This window comes from Homo sapiens, chromosome 16 (assembly GCF_000001405.40).
Source record: "Homo sapiens chromosome 16, GRCh38.p14 Primary Assembly".
NCBI lineage: Eukaryota > Metazoa > Chordata > Mammalia > Primates > Hominidae > Homo > Homo sapiens.
The window spans coordinates 50,856,397-50,876,734 of NC_000016.10; the positions used below are offsets into that span (position 1 = coordinate 50,856,397).

Below are 20,338 nucleotides of genomic sequence, written 5' to 3' on the forward strand. Positions count from 1 at the left end.
TTCTGGGAAAGGGGTTGGAAGCCCCCGATTCAGTTACTAGAGCTGCGCAATACCTAAATTGGCGGCAGAAAACAGCCATTTGTTCACCCCCTCTGCAGGTCAGGAGTGGGAAGAGAGCTTGTCTCTGTTCCCTGATGTCGAGGGCCTCAGAAGGAAACCTCAATGGCTGCTATATTTTCAATTGCTGCTGTGACAAATTACCACAAACATGGAGACTTAAAACTATCCCAGTTTATTATCTTACAATTGTTATGGGTTGGACGTCCTGTGGGCTTGAGTGGGTATCTGCTTAGAGTCTCACAAGGCTGAACTCAGGGCGTGGCAGGGGAGAGTCCATTTTCTTGCTCATTCAGACTGTTGGGAAAATTAATTTCCTTGCAATTGCTGGGCTGTTTTCTTGCTGGCAGTACTCCAATGAAGAGGCAGCCTGCATCCCTTGGCTTGGAGCCCCATTCCTCCATTTTCAAAGGTAGCCACAGCAGGTCGAGCCTCTCTTCCTTTTAAGTCTCTTCTGCCCTTTCTGATTACATCTCTCTGCCCCTCCAATTCTGTTTGCCAGCTGTCTGGCAGCTGAGGAAATGTTCTTTGCTTGTATAAGGGCTCATGTGCTTAGATAGGGCCCACCTGTGTAATCCAGGCTGCCCTCCCCACCTCAAGCTCCACACCCTAAATTCCATCTGCCAGCTCTGCTTGCCATGTGATGTAGCAGATTCACAGGTTCCAGGAATTAGGGCATGGAAATCTTTGTGAGACGGGAGGGGGCATTATTCTGCTGGGTGCTGGACTCATTTGAAGGCTCATTCATACACGTGGCTGTGGGTAATCTTGGCTGTTGGCTGAAACCTTGGCTGGGGCAGCCAACTGGACCCATATGGTCTGTCCATGTGACTGGGCTTCCTTACAATGTGGAGCCTGGGTTCCAAGGGTAAGAAGAAGGGGAGAAAAAGTGAGAGAAAGAGAAAGAGAGAGAGAGGGAGAGGGAGAGGGAGAGGGAGAGAGAGACAGAGAGAGACAAAGGGAAGCTGTATCTACATCTTAGCCTTAGAAGTCACATAGCAAGACTTCCTTCTTAGTGAGTTTTAAGGAAGTAGAAATAGACTGTAACTCCTCCACTTCTTTTTCCTTTTTTATATTTTTGTAAGATGGGATCTCCCCATGTTGCTCAGGCTGGTCTCGAACTCCTGGGCTCAAGCAATCCTCTCGCCTCGGCCTCTGAAAGTGCTGGGATTACAGGCATAAGCCACACACAGGGCCTTTCCAGTCCTTGATGGGATGTGATGATGTTCTCTTCAAGACCACATGGGACTGAAAATATTTTGGAAAATACAGCTTGCCATATCCTCCTAGATAGCACTAATGACAACAACACAACATTCACTGAGTTCTTACCAAGTCCCAGGCTCTGTTCTAAACATTTTACCTGCGTTCTCTAATTATAACCCTCACTGCCACCTTGCGATGTAAATATTCGCCTTGTCCACATATGCAGATGTGGGAACTGAAGCACAAAAGGGGAGCCCTAGCAGGCTTGGTGGATGGCTGGGTGTAGGGGAACAGATTGCTGAAGAAGTAGAGCTGGGGGAAGCGAGGCTGGGGAATGTGAGGGAGAGGAAGCATGCAGGGAGGAGTCTGGGGTAAGAGTGGTGGGCAAGGCTGGGCAGCCCCACACTGGAGCCAGGCTTTGAAGGACAGATCAAACTTGGGTCAGTGGTGGTGGGAAGGGTGTTCTGTGTGTAGCGCATGGACTGAATCAAAGTATGCATTACAGCTGTGTGGGCACGTTGTCTGAGTGTAGAGAAGTGGTGGGGTATTAAGGAGAAGCAGTGGAGGCCGGGAATGTCGGCTGGGATGTGCAGATCTTCTGCTGGGGGACCTGGGAGCTACAGCAGGTGTAAAAGTAGGGCTGATGGCAAGAAGGGCTTTTCTGTTCTGGAAGGGCAGTCTAGGGGTCAGGGACAGCGACTGAATTTGGGATCATGTTTGGTATGAGGCCATATATTTATCTCTAAGCAATGCCCACTCCACTCCCCATTCTCTTCAGTCCTGGAGTGAAGAAAGCTCTGTGGGCCCCCTAAGGTCTCCACACAATGTGCTGAAGGCCAGCTGGGCATGGGGTCAGTGGGAATGCATAGTGAGTTGGGCTGCCAAAGCCTCGGGCTGCCTCCCTTTCCTGCCCAGCTGGGAGACTCGCCTTATCGTGCTTTGGCGATGGTGGCAGGGCTGCCTGCGTCCCCCAGGTTCTGCAGGGCTGTCTCTCCTCTTTGCATGCCTCTTTTTGCCTCTATGTCTCTGTTTTCCTCTGCAGTTCTCATCCCCTCCTCCCACTTGCAGCAATGCGTCTCTGACCCAAGTCTGAGCCCCTTTTAAAGATGAAGAGATGGAGGCCCAGAGAATCTTGGTCCCAGGCCTCTTCAGGAAAGCTGACTTCAGGGCTTTGGGGCAGTCAGTGTGCTGAATTCCCTGTAGAATCTTCTGTGCTAGACCGAAAGCCATTCAGCAAAGCTCACAGCACTTGCCGGGCTAGCTCTGAACTCAGAGTGGCATCAGAGGCACCGCCCCCCCCGTCCCCCCCCCCCCCGCCAAGGAGCATGGTCGGGCACTTGCAAAGGTTCAGGCTCTGCATCCACATGCCTAGGTGCCAGAGCTCTGCCAGTCACTAGCTGTATGACCTTGGGCAAGTCATTTGACTTCTCTGTGCCTGAGTTTCCTTATCTGTAAAATGGGGGTAACAAAAGTATCGACCTCATGGGATTATGTGAGGATGAAAAGGCTTGATGCATGTAAAGTGCTTTGGAGAGTTCCTGGCCCCTGGTAAGAACTACAAAAATATTTCTAGGCAGATAAATATAAACATATTTTTAAAAATATACAATAAAGCCTAGTGGTTTAGAGCATAGGCTCTTCAGTTTGATGCATTCAGCACTTCCTGTGAGATCACAGGCAGGTTATTTAGTCTCCCTTAACATCTCTGAGCCTCAATTTCCTTATCTGCAAAATGGCAATTAGACAGAGTTGGAATAAGAATCGAATGAGATCATGCAACTAAAGTGCCTAGCAGACAGTGAGCGCTCAGTGAACAGGTTCATCAGGTCCCTCTCCCACACCAGGCCAAGGGCAGGAAGAGCTGCCGCTTTGGCCAGTGGAGGGTGGGTAGAGGTGGGTGGTATCTCACTGGAGCATCAGGGGCAGGTCTGGTGGGAGCCTAACCCTGAGCCTTCCTCATCTCCCTCATCAAGATGGGTGACAGGTGCTGGGGACCTGAGAATCGGGGCCTTCCATGCTGACCTGGCCAACAGAGCTCCCCTGGTCTTCCTCTGGGACATCTGAGCCAGGAGCCGGAACCCGGGAGCTGGCTGGGGCACGGCTCTGACCTTTGAACTGTGAGGTGCACTTGGGGCCTCTGCTCCTTTTGCACTGTGTTTTCTTCCTGCATGGCCTCCAGACTGGCTCTGCCTCACCCTCAAACTCCAACCCACATCCCCAGCGGCTGCCAAAGGTCTCTGCTGCTTGTCCCACGGTCGGTCCAGCCTATGCAGCCTTTGCCCTCCTTCCCCAGACCTCATTTCCAAATGGAAAATCTTGGCATTGGATGTGGCCTTCAGGTATTTGTCCCTTATTCCCTTCCCCTCTTTTGGGGAATCTCCTTCCAACCAAGGGTCCTGCCTCCCTTCCCCAGGGCAGATCATGTGACTTTTATAGGCCAATCAGGAGACCTCTCCTGCCTGGAAAGAGGGATTGGTCCAGAACTGAACATGTGATTCGCGGATGGCCAATTGGAGTTTCTTCTGGGGAGATTGCTAGGGATGTGGGGAGAGAGAGGGTCTTCGAAATCAGCAGCTGAAGGACCATCCTTCCTGTTATTGGGAACCAGCCCGCCTGGTGTCAGAGCTGATGCAGAGGAGAGCTGAGACATGGAGAGAGAGGCGGGTTTTTGAGGACACTGCTTGAACCCCTGAATCCAGCCATGCCTGAAGGTGGTGTTTGGCTCCCAGTTATATAAGTCAATCAATTAATTCTCTCTCACTCTCTCTCTCTCTCTTTTTTTTTTTTTTTTCTGGAGCCGGTTTGAATTGGGTTTTATTACTCTCAGCCCAAAGAGTTCTGACTAACTCAGAGCCATATTTGGTGCCCCTTCTTCTACCATCCATCTGCCCATGTCCCTTCCTAATCTTTTTCTTTCTCATCTCCTGATCCTTCACTGTGGTTTGAGCTTTTAGGCTACTTCTTGCCAGTGGGTAGGAGAGGAGATGAGATGAGGGAAAGGAAGACAGAGTGGAAGGACGGAGGTGATGGAATGGGGAGGCAGAGGTGTGTCATGCGAGTCCAGGGAGGCTGAAAACCAAGGATGTGGCTGCAGCAACCCCATAGATGTGCACAGCTCTCATCAGCCTGCTCATTTTAGAGAGAAGAAAATAGACACAGAGAGGTCGAGTGACTTGTTAAAGGACACACAGCTAGGAAGTGGCAGAAGCGGGGTTAGAATCTGGGTCTTTTGACTTTAAACTCTGTTAACACAAAGCCTCAGGCTGTCAGAGGGAAAGGGCCCTCACTCAAGCTTCTCATTAGGCAGATTAGAAAATCTGAGGCCCAGATGGAATAGAGGCTGGGTCACTGTCCCCCCAGTGGTGATTTATGGGATGCATGGCAGAGGTGCAAATGTGTACACACACACACATAGGCACACACACAGACAAACCCTCCTATCCGAGTTCTCAGGGAGTCAGTAAAACCATTCAGGGTGATGGGAATGGGTGAATTGGAGGCACAGTCAGGAGCATAAACAAAAGCTCCTTAATAAAATATTAAACAAAGGCCAGACCCCTTCTCCACCCATCCCCACCCATGCCTGCTCCCCAGAGGCCTCTACATTAACTTCCAGTCTTGTCTCCACACCAGTGCCCCATATCTCTAAATAATGCATGTCTGCCACTATTTCCTGATTCATCAGTTTTGGACATTATCTATTGACTTTCCAAGATGATGGATGAGAATTTTGCTCCCACTCATACCCCCTCCACTCCACCACATTCTCCCATTATTAATTTTTGGTGCTTCTAGTTGGAGGCACTAGACCTTTCTAGTGGAGGACTAACTTGGAGGACTAGACCCGCGCCTTTGTTTCTGGGTCATGCAATGCTAGAAGCATCTCCTGAAGCTTTCAAAGCTCTTCTTGGTAAGATGAGGCTCTCCAGGCCCTTGCCCTCCCTGCAGTTCTACAAGCCCCCTCTCCTGGTGGCCAATCACATCCTGCAGGGACCAGACAGTCACGAGTGTCATAGGACCCTGGGCCTTGGGTCTCTGAGCTCATGTTCCATCACTCCACTCAGTCTTTTCTCTCGTGTTCTGTCTCCCATCCCAGGCTCTGCCACAGGCCCCTGCAAGGAGAGGGAGTATCAGCCTGGTCAGAAATCCTGTGGCTTTCCTGGGGACATTCTGCTTCTTGGGGTCTTATGGCCCAAGGATTTCTAATGTTGCCTCCCCACTCCTTCTGCATCATCACTTTGAAATAGAAATGAAGGTCTCCAGTGGGCTTGCTCTTCTTTTGAAATTATCTGGCTTCATTATGTCATTAGAAAAAGAGAGAACCAAAACACCCCAAAGACTGACAGGCAGTTTGACAAGTGTCAGCAGTCAAAGTCTGAATCCGTCCTCTGAGTTTGCAATCACTTAGCTCCCCCCCCTTTACCTTTAAAATAAGAACAATGGGGTCTTTTGTGGGGTTTGTTGCTTCTGCTGGGCCCTTCTGAGTCACTGCATATTTTTATGCGTTCAGTAATATAGTGTGAGTCATTCTCCAGCTTGGGGGTATTTTGGGACTTGTGGTGTTTTACTTACAATTGCAGAAAAAAATCAAATATTACAGAGGTGATAAAAAATACAGCAAATTCATATGACCCAGCTCAGTGTGCATAAAATTCCAGGACGGGAAAGAGAGCCACGGCATGAGGTCATTGCCAAGGGTTCTTTGGGGAATGTGGTTAAGGTACAACCCATTTTTTTTGCTGAAGTCAAATAAGGGGGTGATTTTAACATTCCTAAGAAATCTTCTTAGGCCAAAGGTTGAAGGTGCCAGTCTTCATCCCATTCGCAAGAGTCCAAAGAGGGGAGGAAGTTCCTCCCTCAACGAGAGCTGTTTATTCCAGATTTTCTAGTTTCTAGACTGGGGTGTTGGCTGTGGGAAGGGGGTTGGATGGAAGCAGGGATGGAGAGGATGGTGCTGAAGCTGTTTCCCCAAATGCGCCATGGCTTCAGCTCATCCGGCTCTGACAGAGCCCCCATCTCAAGAAGCTGGGGGTGACAGTGGCTGAGTCAGGCTGGTGAAAGGGCTGAGGCGGGTGCATTTGCCTTGAGAAACTTTAGGGAGAGATGAAGGAATGCTGAGTGTCCCCAAGGGGATTCTGTCATAATGGAGAAACCGAGTCACAGTTGAGCAGCTCCTTACAGGTGATGTGTCATGGAACCAGGCACTAAAGCAGGGATGAATATCACTTTTCCCCCACCAGAATGTCCCCCTTACTGCTCTGTTCCCTCTATTATACCACACACCTTGGACGAGCCACTTCCCTACTGTGGGCATTGGTTTCCCCATCTGTAACAGTGAACTAGATGATTGACAAGGCTGACCCAGCTGGATGCTCTGCTTTTCTGACATGATCTAGGCTGCTGAGACTAGAACCCTTGTTCCTCCGGGAGCCCAAGTGTGCAGGGCACCGAGGCAGGTCCTAGGGAGTGAGGTGTGGCCCAGGTATTGGGGTTGCAGCATTAATTGCATTCTGAGCACATGTCTACCTCTCAGAGCTGCGGGGCCTGTCTCTTTCTATTAGTTTAACAAGCCCTGGTATTAATGAGATTGCTCTATAATTGAACCTTTTCACGGGTCCCTCGGTAATGAAATTATGCTAATTTGCATTCAGCACCACCAGGCATCCATCACGCGGGACCAGCCGGGAGCGGCCGGTGAGGCGGCGTGAATGCGCCGCTAATTATCACCGAAATGAACAAACCCAGCAGTATTATTATTTCATCTTCTGCCCCATCCCTTCCTCACTACCCGCCTCCCCCACCCCATCTATATTTTTGTCTTTTCATTCACATGACTGCCGGGGCAGGGGTGGGAGAGGGTGGGAGAGGGTGCCGGGGAGGATGCCGCCTCTCCACTGTGTGGCAGCATGGACCAGGGAACAGCACAGGCCCAGGACTGCCCGCGGGCTCCGTGGGTGCAGGCGTGGGGCATGTGTGCACGTGTGTGCAAGAACCCATGCTGCTTCTCAGCCCGTGTGCAGCGTGTGCTGGTGTCTGGGTGTGCAAACCAACTGCATTTATTCGTGAGGCTGGGTATGTCAGAGTGTGAACCTAACCTTGGGTGTATGTCTGTGCTGTTGCGATGCAGGCATGCTTCTGTCTGGGCAGGTCTGTCTGCTTGTGTGGGAGTGTGTGTGTGTCCTTGTGAAAGCGGTGTGTGTGTCACTGTCCTGGCTGGGGGTCACAGTGTGTGTCTCTGCTGAGGGCCTGAGTGCGTGTGTGTGTGTGTTTTTGCCAGTGTGCATATCTGTTTTAGTGGGAATCTCAGCAAATATCTGTGCTTGTGTCATTGTGTGTGAGTGTGCGGTATAGACGTTAGTACATTTGTGCATGGGGCCTGGCACATCAGTGTGTGTTATAAGGTGTGTGTTTGGGATGACTGGTGTGGTGTCTGTGTTGGTGTGAGTAGGTTCTCAGTGTGTGTCTCTATGTGCCTATGTCAGTGTTTAGATGGTGTGAATATGTGTGTGAGCATCTGGCCTTGTGTTTGGGAACATCCACTTACCTGGCCTCGGAATGGTGTCTGGGAAACCCAATGGCCTGGGAATGGTGGCTCACTGAAATGGCTACACCCATAATGGCTCTTGGTGAAGGGACAGGGCCACCATGACAAGGGGGCAACTACAGTGCCCTCCTTCCCATTCGCTGAGCCCCAAGGAATCCTCCTGGTCTCTCAGGTGAACAAAGAATAGTTCAGATTGATTTTCTGGCCAGGCCTGCTGGATGGAGGCTTGGAGGAGAAATTTTATTTGATTCAGAGAAAATATTTTGATATTCCTTTTTAACCTGAGTATGTGCAGTAAGATTCACTCTGGCTTCGTTGGGTAAACATTTCTTGGGTGCCCCTCTGTGCCAGGCCTGCTGGGTGCTTGGGGCCAATGGACTGGGAGGGAAAGAGGCCACTGAAATCCTCTCCGGTGTCTATTAGGGCAGAGGCGAAGCTCCTAATAAGAACGTGTCCTGGTTCTGCTAGCAACCAGGTATTGACTTTGGGCGAGACTCTCTCCCTTCTCAGAGACTCAGTTTTCCTGGCTATAAAATGGGAGTTGGAGACACATTGGCTAAGATGAATTCTAAGATCCCTTCTAGCAATGGAATGCCATGGCTCTGAGAGTTGTACTTGGGGAGCTGCTTTTACTGTGTGGTGAATAAAAGTCTGGACTTTGGAGACAGTCAGCTCTGAGCTTGAGCAAGTTAATTAATTTTTCTGATTCTCCATTTCCTTTCCACAAAACATTTATAATAATATATGTTATTATATGTTTGTGTTGTGGCTAAATCAATAATGTGCTGGTAAATGTATAACAACCAGCTTGATAAAAAAGTTGCATGTATATATGTAAGTTAATTATAAAACTTACTGATACAAAGGAATGTAATACAGAATTTACAAATAATAAAGTATACAGTTCTTTTTATGATAAATTCCATATGGCCAGTTGATTCTCCAAGAATTCTTTTGTTGATTTTTGTCAAACTCTCCTATTCATAGACAACCTACAGTTGCAATTGACAAATGAGTATAGTTCTGACATGAATATTTGTTGGTATTTTTGTTTTTTTTTTTAAATGAGGAAGATATAAGTGAAACAACTAAAATATCTATCAAAAATTTAATTTTTTGTCATCAGCATAAGAGACTTCTTGTTGAATTGATGATTAATATCATTTTCTTTCTTTTCTTTTTTTTTGTTTTTCCAGAGACACAGCCTTGCTCTGTTGCCCAAGCTGGGGTACAGTGGTATGATCATAGCTCACTGCCACCTTGAACTCCTGAGATCAAGCGATCCTCCTGCCTCGGCTTCCAACTAGCTAGAACTACACACTTGTCACCCCATATGGCTAATTTTTAATTTTTTTTTTAAGAGCCGGGGTCTTGTTATGTTGCCCAGGCTGGTCTTGAGCTCCTGGTCTCAAGTGATTCTCCTGCTTCAGCCTCCCAAAGTGCTGGGATTATAGGTGTGAACCACTGCTCCTAGCTTTCATCAGTTTCTTGAAGTCCAGATCATCCATAAAACAATAAATCAAGCCCTGCTTTGTGGTGTTTGCTGATTTCCACGGTGTAAAGACTTCTACTATGGCCAGTTTAAAACAACATGATGTCACTAACCCTGAAGTGGGGAAGAGATGCACAGGAGCACACAAGCACATACTATTTTCACTATAAAGTTACAATAGATATAAATAACCCCAAGAGCACGGATCATAGGAGAATAATTAGAAAGTGATGATTTTTAAGAATTACTAACTTTTGTTTTTAATATAATTTATTTGATTGTAAATTTATATGATTTGATTTTTAATGGTAGATGTATTTAACAACCCACTGACACTTTTTTTTTTTTGGAAAATTGAACTATTGACCTTTGCAAGCTGGTATGAACGACCTCCAGCATAGACACTGAATGGGATAAAATAATGCAAGACCTAATACATTTTAGTTACTCAAAATAATTTAGCTATTATTGTTAGTAGTAGTAGTAGTGATAGTGATACTACATAAGTAGTATTTTAACACTACTTCTTACCCACTAAGAGATATCTGCCCTGTAACATGTTGATTTAGTCACAAATTGTGACTAATTTTCTTCATTTGTGAAATGGAGTTCACAATCCTGTCTCTATTTCCTAGAAGTCTCAGTGAAATGTATGGAAACACTTTGGGAATGCTATGTGTCTGGAAACTGGGTAGGGCCAGGTAAAGCCACAGAGACAGCAGCAAGTATAGGCAGCTTATACTTGTGATGTGTGTGTGTATGTGTGTACAAATACTTTTAAGATATTGAGATAAAATGTCAAACACTGGAGTGCACACATCTGAAGTCTACAATTTGGGCTTTGACAAGTGTGTGACTGATAACATTTCCATCACTGTAGGGGGTTCCCTAATGCCCTTTTCCAGTTCAGTCCTTCCACTCCCACCATAGGCTATGAATGTTCTTATTTTTGTCAACATAGATCCATTTTGTCTGTTTTTGAACTTAATATACAATCATCCATCATTTAACAACGGAGAATTGCTCTGAGCAATACATTGGTAGGTGATTTTGTTATTGCGTGAACATTACAGAGTGTACTTACACAAACCTGTATGGTATAGCCTACTACATACACACCTAGGCTATCTGGTATAGCCTATTGCTTCTAGGTTACAAACATGTAGTGCACGTATACTGTACTGAATGCCACAGGCAATTGTAACATAGTGGTATTTGTGCATCCAAACATAGCTAAATATAGGAAAGGTACAGTGAAAATATGAAATAATCTTACGAAACCATCATCATTGACTGAGACATCATTATACAGTGCATGACTGTAAATGCAGTCATACATGTGTAATCTTTTATGTCTGGCTTAGTTTGCCCAACATTATGTTATTGAATCCATCCATATTTAGCATGTATCAGTAGTTCTTTAGTTTTGCTTGCTGAGTATCCCACTTGTAATTCACTTATTAATGGACATTGGGGTGGTTTCCAGTTTGGGGCTATTATAACTAAAATTTCTATGAGCATTCTTACACATGTATTTGGGGGACCACATATATTTTCATCTCCTTTGGGTAAATACTACCTACGAGTAGAATTGCTTGGTCATTGGTAAGATTTACTTCAGACACCTACCTAGGGTGGTTGTACTAATTTATATACCCACTATCAATGTGTGGGACTTCTGGCTGCTCCAGATTTCTGCCAATATTTAGTGTTGTCAGTGTTTTTAATTTTAGTTATTATCGTGGGTGTGTAGAAGTATCTCATGTGGTTATAATTTGTATTTCCTTGAAGACCAATAACATTGAGCAATTTTTTGCAAGTGTATTCTATGACATTTACATATGTTCCTTCATTAAGTGCCTATTCAAATTTGTGCTTATTGTTTATTGAATTGTTAATATCTGTTATTATTGAGTTGTAGGACTTCCTTATATATCATAATTTTTAGCCTTTCATCAAGGATTTGTTTTGCAAATATTTTCTCCCAGACCATGGCTTGCCTATTAATATTATTAACAAGACCTTTTGATGACCATTTAAAAAAGTTGATGGATTCTAAGTTATTATTTTTTCTCTATTGTTATTGTTGTTTATATCTTATCTAATGAATTTTTGCCTACCCCCCAGGTAGTGAAGATAGTCTTCTGTGCTTTTTTTCTACATTTTTATAGTTTTAGCTTTTACATTTAAGTCTATGATCTATCTCAATTTGTGTACGGTGTGAGGTAGGGGTTAAAGTTCCCTTTCCACCTTCTATTTATACAGTTGTTTCAGCACTATTTGTTGAGAAAACTTCTTTCTTTAAGTTGCCTGGATGACTTTCTTGAGAATCAAATGATTGTATATGTGTGAATCTTCTTCTGGTCTCTCTATTCTATTCTATTGATCAATTTTTCTATACTTTTCATTACTATACTATTTTGGTTATTATGGCTTTATAGGAAATCTTGAAATCAAATCATATGAATGCTTCAATTTTGTCTTTTTTCTCTCTCAAAATTGTTTTGGCTATTCAAGCTCCTTTGAATTTTGATGTAAATTTAGGAATCAACTTGTAAATCTATACAAAAATAAACTTTCTGGGATTTTGATTGAGACTGTCTTGAATATTTATATTAATTCTGGGACAATGGACATCTTAACAACATTGAGCTTTCAATCTATGAACATGGTATATCTATTTATTGAGGCCTGATTTCATTCCCCACAGCAAAGTTTTTTAGTTTTTGGTGTGGAGTTTTGTTCATATGTTGTTACATTTATTCCTTATTATGTTTTATATATTATGGCAATGGTATAATTTTTAAATTTATTTACAATAGTAGTATTTTATTTACTATTATATACAAATATAATTGTTTTTTGTATATTAACCTTGTTTCCTGCAATCTTATTCAATCCACCTCTTAGTTTGAATAGTATTTTTGGTAGGTTGCTTAGGATTTTTCTATCTAAACAATCATTGTCTAAGGCAGCTCAGGCTGTCAAAACAAAATACCATAAACTGGGTGGCTCAAACAACAGACATTGGCTGGGTGCCATGGCTCAGGCCTGTAAGGCCAGCACTTTGGGAGGCCAAGGTGAGTGGATCACCTGAGGTCAGGAGTTCAAGGCTAGCCTGGTCAACATGTTGAAACCCTGTCTCTACTAAAAATGCAAAAATTAGCCAGGCATGGTGGTGCACCTCTATAATCCCAGCTACTCAAGAAGCTGAGTGGGAGAATTGCTTGAACCTGGCAGGCAGAGGTTGCAGTGAGCCAAGATGGTGCCACTGCCTTCCAGCCTGGGCAACAGAGCAAGACTCCGTCAAACAAAAACAAAAACAAAAACAAGAAAACCTAGACATTTATTTCTCAGTTCTGGAGGCTGGTAACTGTATCACCAGATTTGGTTCTTGGTGAGGGCCCTCTTTCTGGCTTGCAAATGACTACCTTCTCTTTGTAGCTTCACATGGCAGAGAGAGGACACTGATATTTCTTCCTCTAAGAAGTGGTGGCAGTACTTATATGGGTACTAATCCCATCATAAGGGCTTCACCGTCCTGAGCTCATCTAAATCTAATTACCTCACAAAAGTCTCACCTCCTAATACTATCACATTGGGGGGTTGAAGCTTCAACATAGCCTCCTCCTCCTGAGGAGGAGACATAAATATTTAGTCAATAATAATAATGTAATCTAGAAATAAATGTAACTATTTCTTCTTGATATTTATGGCTTTCAATTAGTTTTCCTCTTCTTTAAAAAAAAATGTTTTTTAAGCCTACAGCACCCGGTATTCCCTTGAAGTCTCCCATCCAAGCACTAACCAGGCCTGACCCTGCTTAGGTTCATAAGATCAGATGAGATAGGGCATATTCATGGTGATATGGCTAATACACACACACACACACACACACACACACACACACACACACGATATTTTAGGACGAAAGATGTTGCTAAATAAATTCTTTTTCTTACCTCCATTGCACTGACAAAAATCCCCAATACATACTGAATAGAAATACTTAGAAGAGACATACTTGCCTTGTTCTCGATCTCTGCAAGGAAGTATTAAATATTTTGTCATAAGTATGATCCTTATTGTAGGTTTGTTTGTTTTTAGTTTCCTTTTATTACGTAGAGGAAAGTTTTCTTCTATTTCTAGTTTCTTGCTAGCTTTTGAGTGGGTGTTAAATTTGTTAAATGATTTTTATGAATCTATTAAGATGATCATATAGTTTTTCCTCTATTTTGTTAATGTGGTAAATTACATGGCTTGCCTTTCAAATATAAAATGAATCTTGCATGCAGAAATACATTTCATTTTGTTGACATAATGTATTATCCTTTTTATATATTGCTGTATTCTATTTGTTAATATTTTGTTAATGATTTGAACTTATGGATACGAGGGAGATTGTACATATTGTGCAATTTTCTTTTATTATAATATTGGCATCTAGATTTTTTGTGGTATCTTATCTTTTTATTGTGGTAAAATGAACATAACATAAAATTCACCATTTTAACTATCTTAAAGTGTACAATTCAGTGGCATTTAGAATTTGCATAATGTTTTGCAACCATCACCATGATCTAGTTCAAGATCATTTTCACCAACCCCAAAGAAAATCCTATATAACAACTCCTAATCCTTTTCTGCCTTTTGTCCTGTAGCAACCAGTAATATGTTTTCTGAACCTATGGATCTGTCTTTATATCCTAGATATTTCATACAAATGAATTATACAGTATATGGCTTTTGTGCCTAGTTCTCTCACTTAGCATCATAATGTTTAAGACATGTATCAATGTTGTAACTTGTATCAGGACTATATTACCTTTTGTGGTTGAGTAATATCCCATTATATGAATATCCCATATTTTGTTTATTTATTCATCAATTGATGAACATTTGGGTATTTTTACCTTTTGTCTATTGTGAATATTGCTACTATGAACATTTGTGTACAAGCTTTTGTTTGAAAACCTATTTCCAATTCTCTTGGGTATACACCTAGGAGTGGACGGGCTGGGTCAGACGGTAATTCGATGCTTAACTTATTGAAGAACTGCCAAACTGCTTTCCAAAGTGGCTGCACCATTTTACATTTCCACCAGCAGTTCATGAGGGCTTCACATTCTCCACATTCTCACCAAAACTTGTTATTTTCCATTTGTTTTATTATAGCCAACCTAGGGATAACTCATTGTAGTTTTGATTTGCATTTTGTTTATGATTAATGCCATTGAACATTATTTCATGTGCTTCTTGGGATTTTCTATATCTTCCTAAGAAAATGATTATTCAAGTCCTTTTCCCACATTTTGATTGAATTGTCTTTTGCTTGTTGAGTTATAAGATAATACATATTAGATACTATACTTAGCAGATATATTATTTGCAAATATTTTCTTTAATTTTTAAGATTTTTTATCGCTCTCTTGATAGTGTTCTTTGATGCAGAAAAGTTTCTAATTTTGATTAATTCCAATTTATCCATTTTTTTCTTTTGTTGCTTGTGTTTTCGGTATTATATCTAAAAAGCCATTGCCAAATTCAAAGTCATGAAGACTTAGCCTTACGTTTTCTTCTGAGAGTATTATTGTTTTAGCTTTTACATTTAGGTCTTTGATCTATTTTGAGGTAATTTTTGTATAACGTGTGAAGCAAGGGTCCAACTGAATTCTTTTGCTTGCAGATATGCAGTCATTCAGCATACTTGTTGAAAACTCTATGCTTTTTCCCATCGAATGATCTTGGTTGGCACCCTTGTCAAAACAATTGACCATAGATGTAGTGGTTTTATTTTCATGTTTTGATTATAGACCATTCTCAATTCTATTCTATTGACCTATACATGTATCCTATGGCAGTACCACTCTATTTTGATCTATGACTTTGTGGTGAGTTTTGAAAACAGGAAACATGAATATTACAAATGTATTATTCTTTTTCAGGATTTTCTGGTTATTCGGGGTTCCTTGCAATTCCACATGAATTTTAAGTCAGGTTTTTCGTTTTTTGCATAAAAGGCCATTGGGGTTTTGATAGGGATTGCATTGAATCTGTAGATTACTTTGGGTAATATTGACATTTTAACTATTTTAACTCTTCAAATCTATAAACACAAGATGTTTTTTCATTTATTTAGGGCTTCTTTTATTTTTCAGCAGTGTTTTATAGTTTTTAGTGTCAGTCTTGCATCTCCTTGGTTAAATTTATTACTAGGTATTCTTTTTCATACTATTAAAAATGGAATTGTTTCTTTTTTCTTTCTTTTCTTTTTTCTTTTTTTTTTTTTGAGATAGAGTCTCACTCTGTTGCCCAGGCTGGGGCGCAGTGGCAAAATCTCGGCTCACTGCAACCTCCACCTCCCAGGTTCATGCAATTCTTCTGCCTCTGTCTCCCTGGTAGCTGGGACCACAGGCGTGTGCCACCACTCCTGGCTAATTTTTTGTATATTTAGTAGAGAGAGGTTTCACTGTATTAGCCAGGATGGTCTCCATCTCCTTACCTCGTGATCCACCTGCCTTGGCCTCTCAAAGTGCTGGGATTACAGGTGTGAGCCACTGCCCCCCACTGGAATTGTTTCTTAACTTTACATATTATTCATTGCTAGTGTATAGAAATACCACTTATTTTTGTGTGTTGATCTTGTATACTACAACTTTGCTGAATTTATTAGCTTCACTTGATTATTTTTGTAGATTCTTTCGAGTTCTCTATACGTAAGATCATGTCATTTGTGAACAGAGTTAGTTTTACTCCTTTCCAATTTTGGTGACTTCATTTCTTTTTCTTGCCTAATTACTCTGGCTAGAACTATTTCAATTTTGAATATAAGTGAGGAAAACAAGAATCTTTGTCTTGTTCTTGATCTTAGGGAGACAGCTATTAATTTTTCACCTTTGACTATGATATAAGCTGTGGGTTTTTCATAGATGCCCCTTAACTGGTTGAAAAGCTTCCCTTCTTTTCCTAGTTGTATTATGAAAGGATGTTGGATTATGTCAAATACTTTTTCTGTATAAGTTGAGATGATTGTGTGGGTTTTTTTTGCCCCTTCATTCTGTTAATGTGGTATATTACATTGATTTTCATATATTGAGCCACTCTTTCATTCCAGGAATAAATATCACTTGGTCCAAATCCAAATATGCTGTTGGATTTACATATATATTCATAAGGTATATTACCTGAAGCTTTCTTTTCTTGTGATATTTTTATCTAGATTTGGTGTCAGGGAAATGCTGACCCCATAGAATAAGTAAGAAATGCTTCCTCCTTTTCAAATTTCTGGAAGAATTTGAGAAGGACTGGTATTGATTCTTCCTTTAATGTTTGCTAGAATTTACCAGTGGGTATGTCTGGTTCTAGGCTTTTCTTTTTTGGGAGATTTTGATTAACTGATTTCATCTCTTTACTTGTTATAGGTCTGTTGAGATTTCTATTTCTTCTTGAGTCAGTTTAGGTAATTTGTATCCTTCTAGGAATTTGTCCATTTAATCTGGGTTACATGTTTGGCATGTAATTGTTTACTTAATCTCTTTTTAATTCCTTTATTTCCCAGTAAGGTCAGTAACAATTCCCTTATTTTCATTCCTGTGATTTCTTCTTTGATTCATGGGTTATTCAGAAGTGTGTTGTACAATTTCCAAATGTTTGGGGATTATTAAAGTATCTTATTGTTATTGATTGCTAAATTAATTTCATTGTTGTCAGAGATTATACTCTGTAAAATTTCAATCATTTGAAATTGATTGGATTTATTTTCTGGCCAAATATATAGTCTATTTTGGTAACTGTGTCATGTGCACCCACAAAAGATGTTTATTATGCAGTTGTTGGGTGTAATGTTTTCATGAATTTCTAGTAAATCAAATTGGTTGATATTATTTTTCACATACTCTTATATTTTGTCTAACTAGTATGAGAAGCATTTTATAATAAGTTACTATGATTGTGGATTTGTCTATTTTTTCCTAGTTATGTCAGCTTTTGTTTCATGTATTTTAAAATTTATTTTTAGGCTTATAGGCATTTATAATTGTCATATCTTTCTAATGAATTCCCCTTTTGTAATTATGAAATGTGCTCACTTATTTCTAGAAATACTCTGTCTTAAAGTCTATTTTTCTGATAATATAGCTACAGCAGCTTTCTTATGTTTATTGTTTGCGTAGTATATCTTTTTTCTCTTTCCTTTTAATTGTTGTCTTAATATTTAAAATATTTCTTTTGTAGGAATAGAGTTGGTCTTGTTTGTGTGATTCAGAATGACAACAGCTGCCTTTTAACTGGAGTGTTTAAAGCATTTACACTTAATGTAATTATTGCTATGACTGGGTTTAAACCTATGATCTTATATTTGTTTTCTATTTCACTGACTTTTTACTTCTGCCTTCCCTGTCTGCTTCATTTTGGGCATACAGCATACTTTTATATTCTATGTCGTTTTATTTTATTTATTCTCTTTTTAGCTCTATCTCTTTCTATTTTTAGCTATCCTCCTCATCATAGCCTACTTAGAATTAATACTCTATAAATTCACTTAAAATTTAAGTGAAATTTTAACTTTAATTTTAATTTTAACTACGACTTCACTTTAAATTTAAGTGAAACCCTGTAACACTACAATTCCATTTATCTTTAATGTTCTTTCTGTTTTCACATATACTATTTCTATATATGTTGTAATTCCACAAAACAATGCTATTATTTTTGTTTTAAATAGTCAGTTGTCTGTTACAAAACTGAAGAGAGGAAAAGATAATCATTTATGCTTAGCCACTTATTTATTATTTCCAGTGCTCTTTATTTTTTCCTCAATAACTGAATTTCCATCTGATTTAATTACCCCCAAGCCTAAATTACTTTTGAAAGCATTTGTGTTTGTGTTTGTGTGTGTGTGTGTGTGTGTTTGTGTGTGTGTTGAAAGTCTGTTGACAAGGAATTCTCTCAGCTTTTGTTTATCTGCAAATGTCTATTTCACCCTTATTTTGAGCAACATTTTTGCTAGATATACAATTCTGAATACATATATATATATGTGTGTGTGTGTGTGTGTGTATATATATATTTCTTTCACCATCTTAAAATATGTCCTTTAAAAACATTTATTGTATTTACTCTTGGGGTCTGCTGAGATCTTGGATCTTTCAGCTGATGCTTTTCATGAAATTTGGGAAATAATCTTTTAAACATTTTTCCTGTCCTATTCTCTCTCATCACTCTGGGACCCCAATAGCATGTGTCTAACTATTCAGTAAACTATTTAATATTATCCCACAGGTGATGGGGCTCTGTTAATTTTTTAAGTGTTTTCTTTCTGTTCTTCAAATTGGATATTTTCACTGATCTAGCCTCAAGTTCATTGGCTTTTTCTACAATATCTAATATGATTCTAAATATTCACTAATTTTAGTGAATATTTCATTTCATTATATTATGTTTCTTAGTTCTAGAATTTCATTTTGTTCCTTTGTAGTTTGTATTTGAGTCCTTATTTTTCATTCATCATGTCCATGTTTTTGTTTAAATTGTTAAACATATTTATAATAGCTGTTTTCAAGTCCTTGGATGTTAATTCCAACTTCTGAACCTCTCAAGGTTGTCTGTTTTTTTGTTGATTTTGGGTCACTTTTGCCTACATTTTTGCATGTGTAGTAATTTTTATTGTGTTCTGAATATTCTGAATTTTGTTGTCATCCTTTAAATGATGTTGATTTTGTTATGGAAGGCAGTTGAACTACTGGTGGAGTCTTTTGATTCTGTTGGACTGAATTTTATTTTTTGTTAGAGTACATCTATTTAGGTTTTGTCCTTAGTGTTAGGACATGGTTCTTTCTCTAAGATGTGGTCCTTACCTTTTATGCATAGACTTTCTGATTTCTCAGCTGAATGGCTGAGGTGCTCAGTGAGGGTTTCTTCATTCTGGCTGGGCCAGAACCCCCTACACTTTGTAGCCTCTGGTATCACCATTCAGCGCTCAGCCTTCAGCAGCAGCTGTCAACTAGGCTTGCAGAGGCTCACTGTGTATATCCATAGCACATCTATTGGTCAAGGATCTTCAGGGAGTGTGTCCCAAAAGAAACTTCAGGGTCTTATTGTTAACACATCCCCCCATACTCTAATGTCCTGGCTTGAAAACCCGGAGTCATTCAGGCTGGTGAAATGCCCAAGGGAAGAACTTGGGAAAGGGAAAAGTCTTCTACAGAGTGCTTCCTACCACTTTCCAGCTATGTGAACAGGACAACTTGCCTAATTTCCCCATGACTCAGTTTAATCACTTGCAAAATGAGGATAATAGTAGTACCCAACTGATAGGGTCATATTGAAAGCTAAATGAGATAATACACGTGTGATGCTTAGAACAGGGTCTAGCACATAGTAGGTGCTGTCTAGGAATTATCTGCTATTTTTCTTCCTGGCTCTGCAGAGCTTGTCTGTAGCTCATGCAAGTAGTGGCAGCATTTGAAAGATGAAGCTTCATGGTAAGAGAAGCTCATTCTGTATCCTTGTGCTGAGCAGCATTAGAAGCTTTCTGGGGCATTTATAGGCTAGGAAGTTGTCTTAGTTCATTTGTGCTGTTATTACAGAATACATAAGACAGTGTTTTGCCCAGCATACCCAAGAGAATGCTGGATTTGTGCACAATTGTAACAAAAATTGCCATTTACTGGGCATTTGACATGGGCCAGGAACCTTGCTGACGACTTCTGTGCATTACCTCCAGTCCTTAAAGCATTTCTGTAGGTGGCTTTCATGAGCCTGTGTGGGTGTGTGTGTGTGCACGTGTGCGTGCGTGTGTGTGTTGCTATTTAATCTTTTCATTTCCAGCATACAGTTCCCTGTTAATTCCTTTGGGCAAAGAGCATTTAGCTGACTTCTTCTGATTTTTATTCTGCAGCACTGGGGACAGGCCTGCACATATAGGAGTAGACACAAATATTATTTGGAAGAGAAAAGTGGACCCAAACAGCCTTGGTTACCCTCACACTTCAGCATTCTCAGCGTGCCAAGCTCCAGATTAATCCTAGTCTGAAGGAAAC

At 40.9% G+C, this 20,338-nt stretch overlaps 1 long non-coding RNA gene and 1 pseudogene across 7 annotated transcripts in view; one reads left to right on the forward strand and one right to left on the reverse strand.

Annotated features, from left to right (window-relative positions):
* Positions 1 to 20,338, forward strand: part of LINC02128 (long intergenic non-protein coding RNA 2128) — a 61,006-nt gene that overhangs the window by 16,341 nt on the left and 24,327 nt on the right. For 3 of the 7 annotated variants that reach the window (NR_184291.1, NR_184289.1, NR_184290.1), the window contains exon 1: positions 3,800 to 3,974. The exons of the other annotated variants lie outside the window; for them this stretch is intronic. This is a non-coding gene — a long non-coding RNA (long intergenic non-protein coding RNA 2128). Of the gene's footprint in view, positions 1 to 3,799; positions 3,975 to 20,338 lie in introns of those variants that run through there. 7 annotated transcript variants of the gene reach the window in all.
* Positions 13,059 to 13,179, reverse strand: RNA5SP426 (RNA, 5S ribosomal pseudogene 426; annotated as a pseudogene).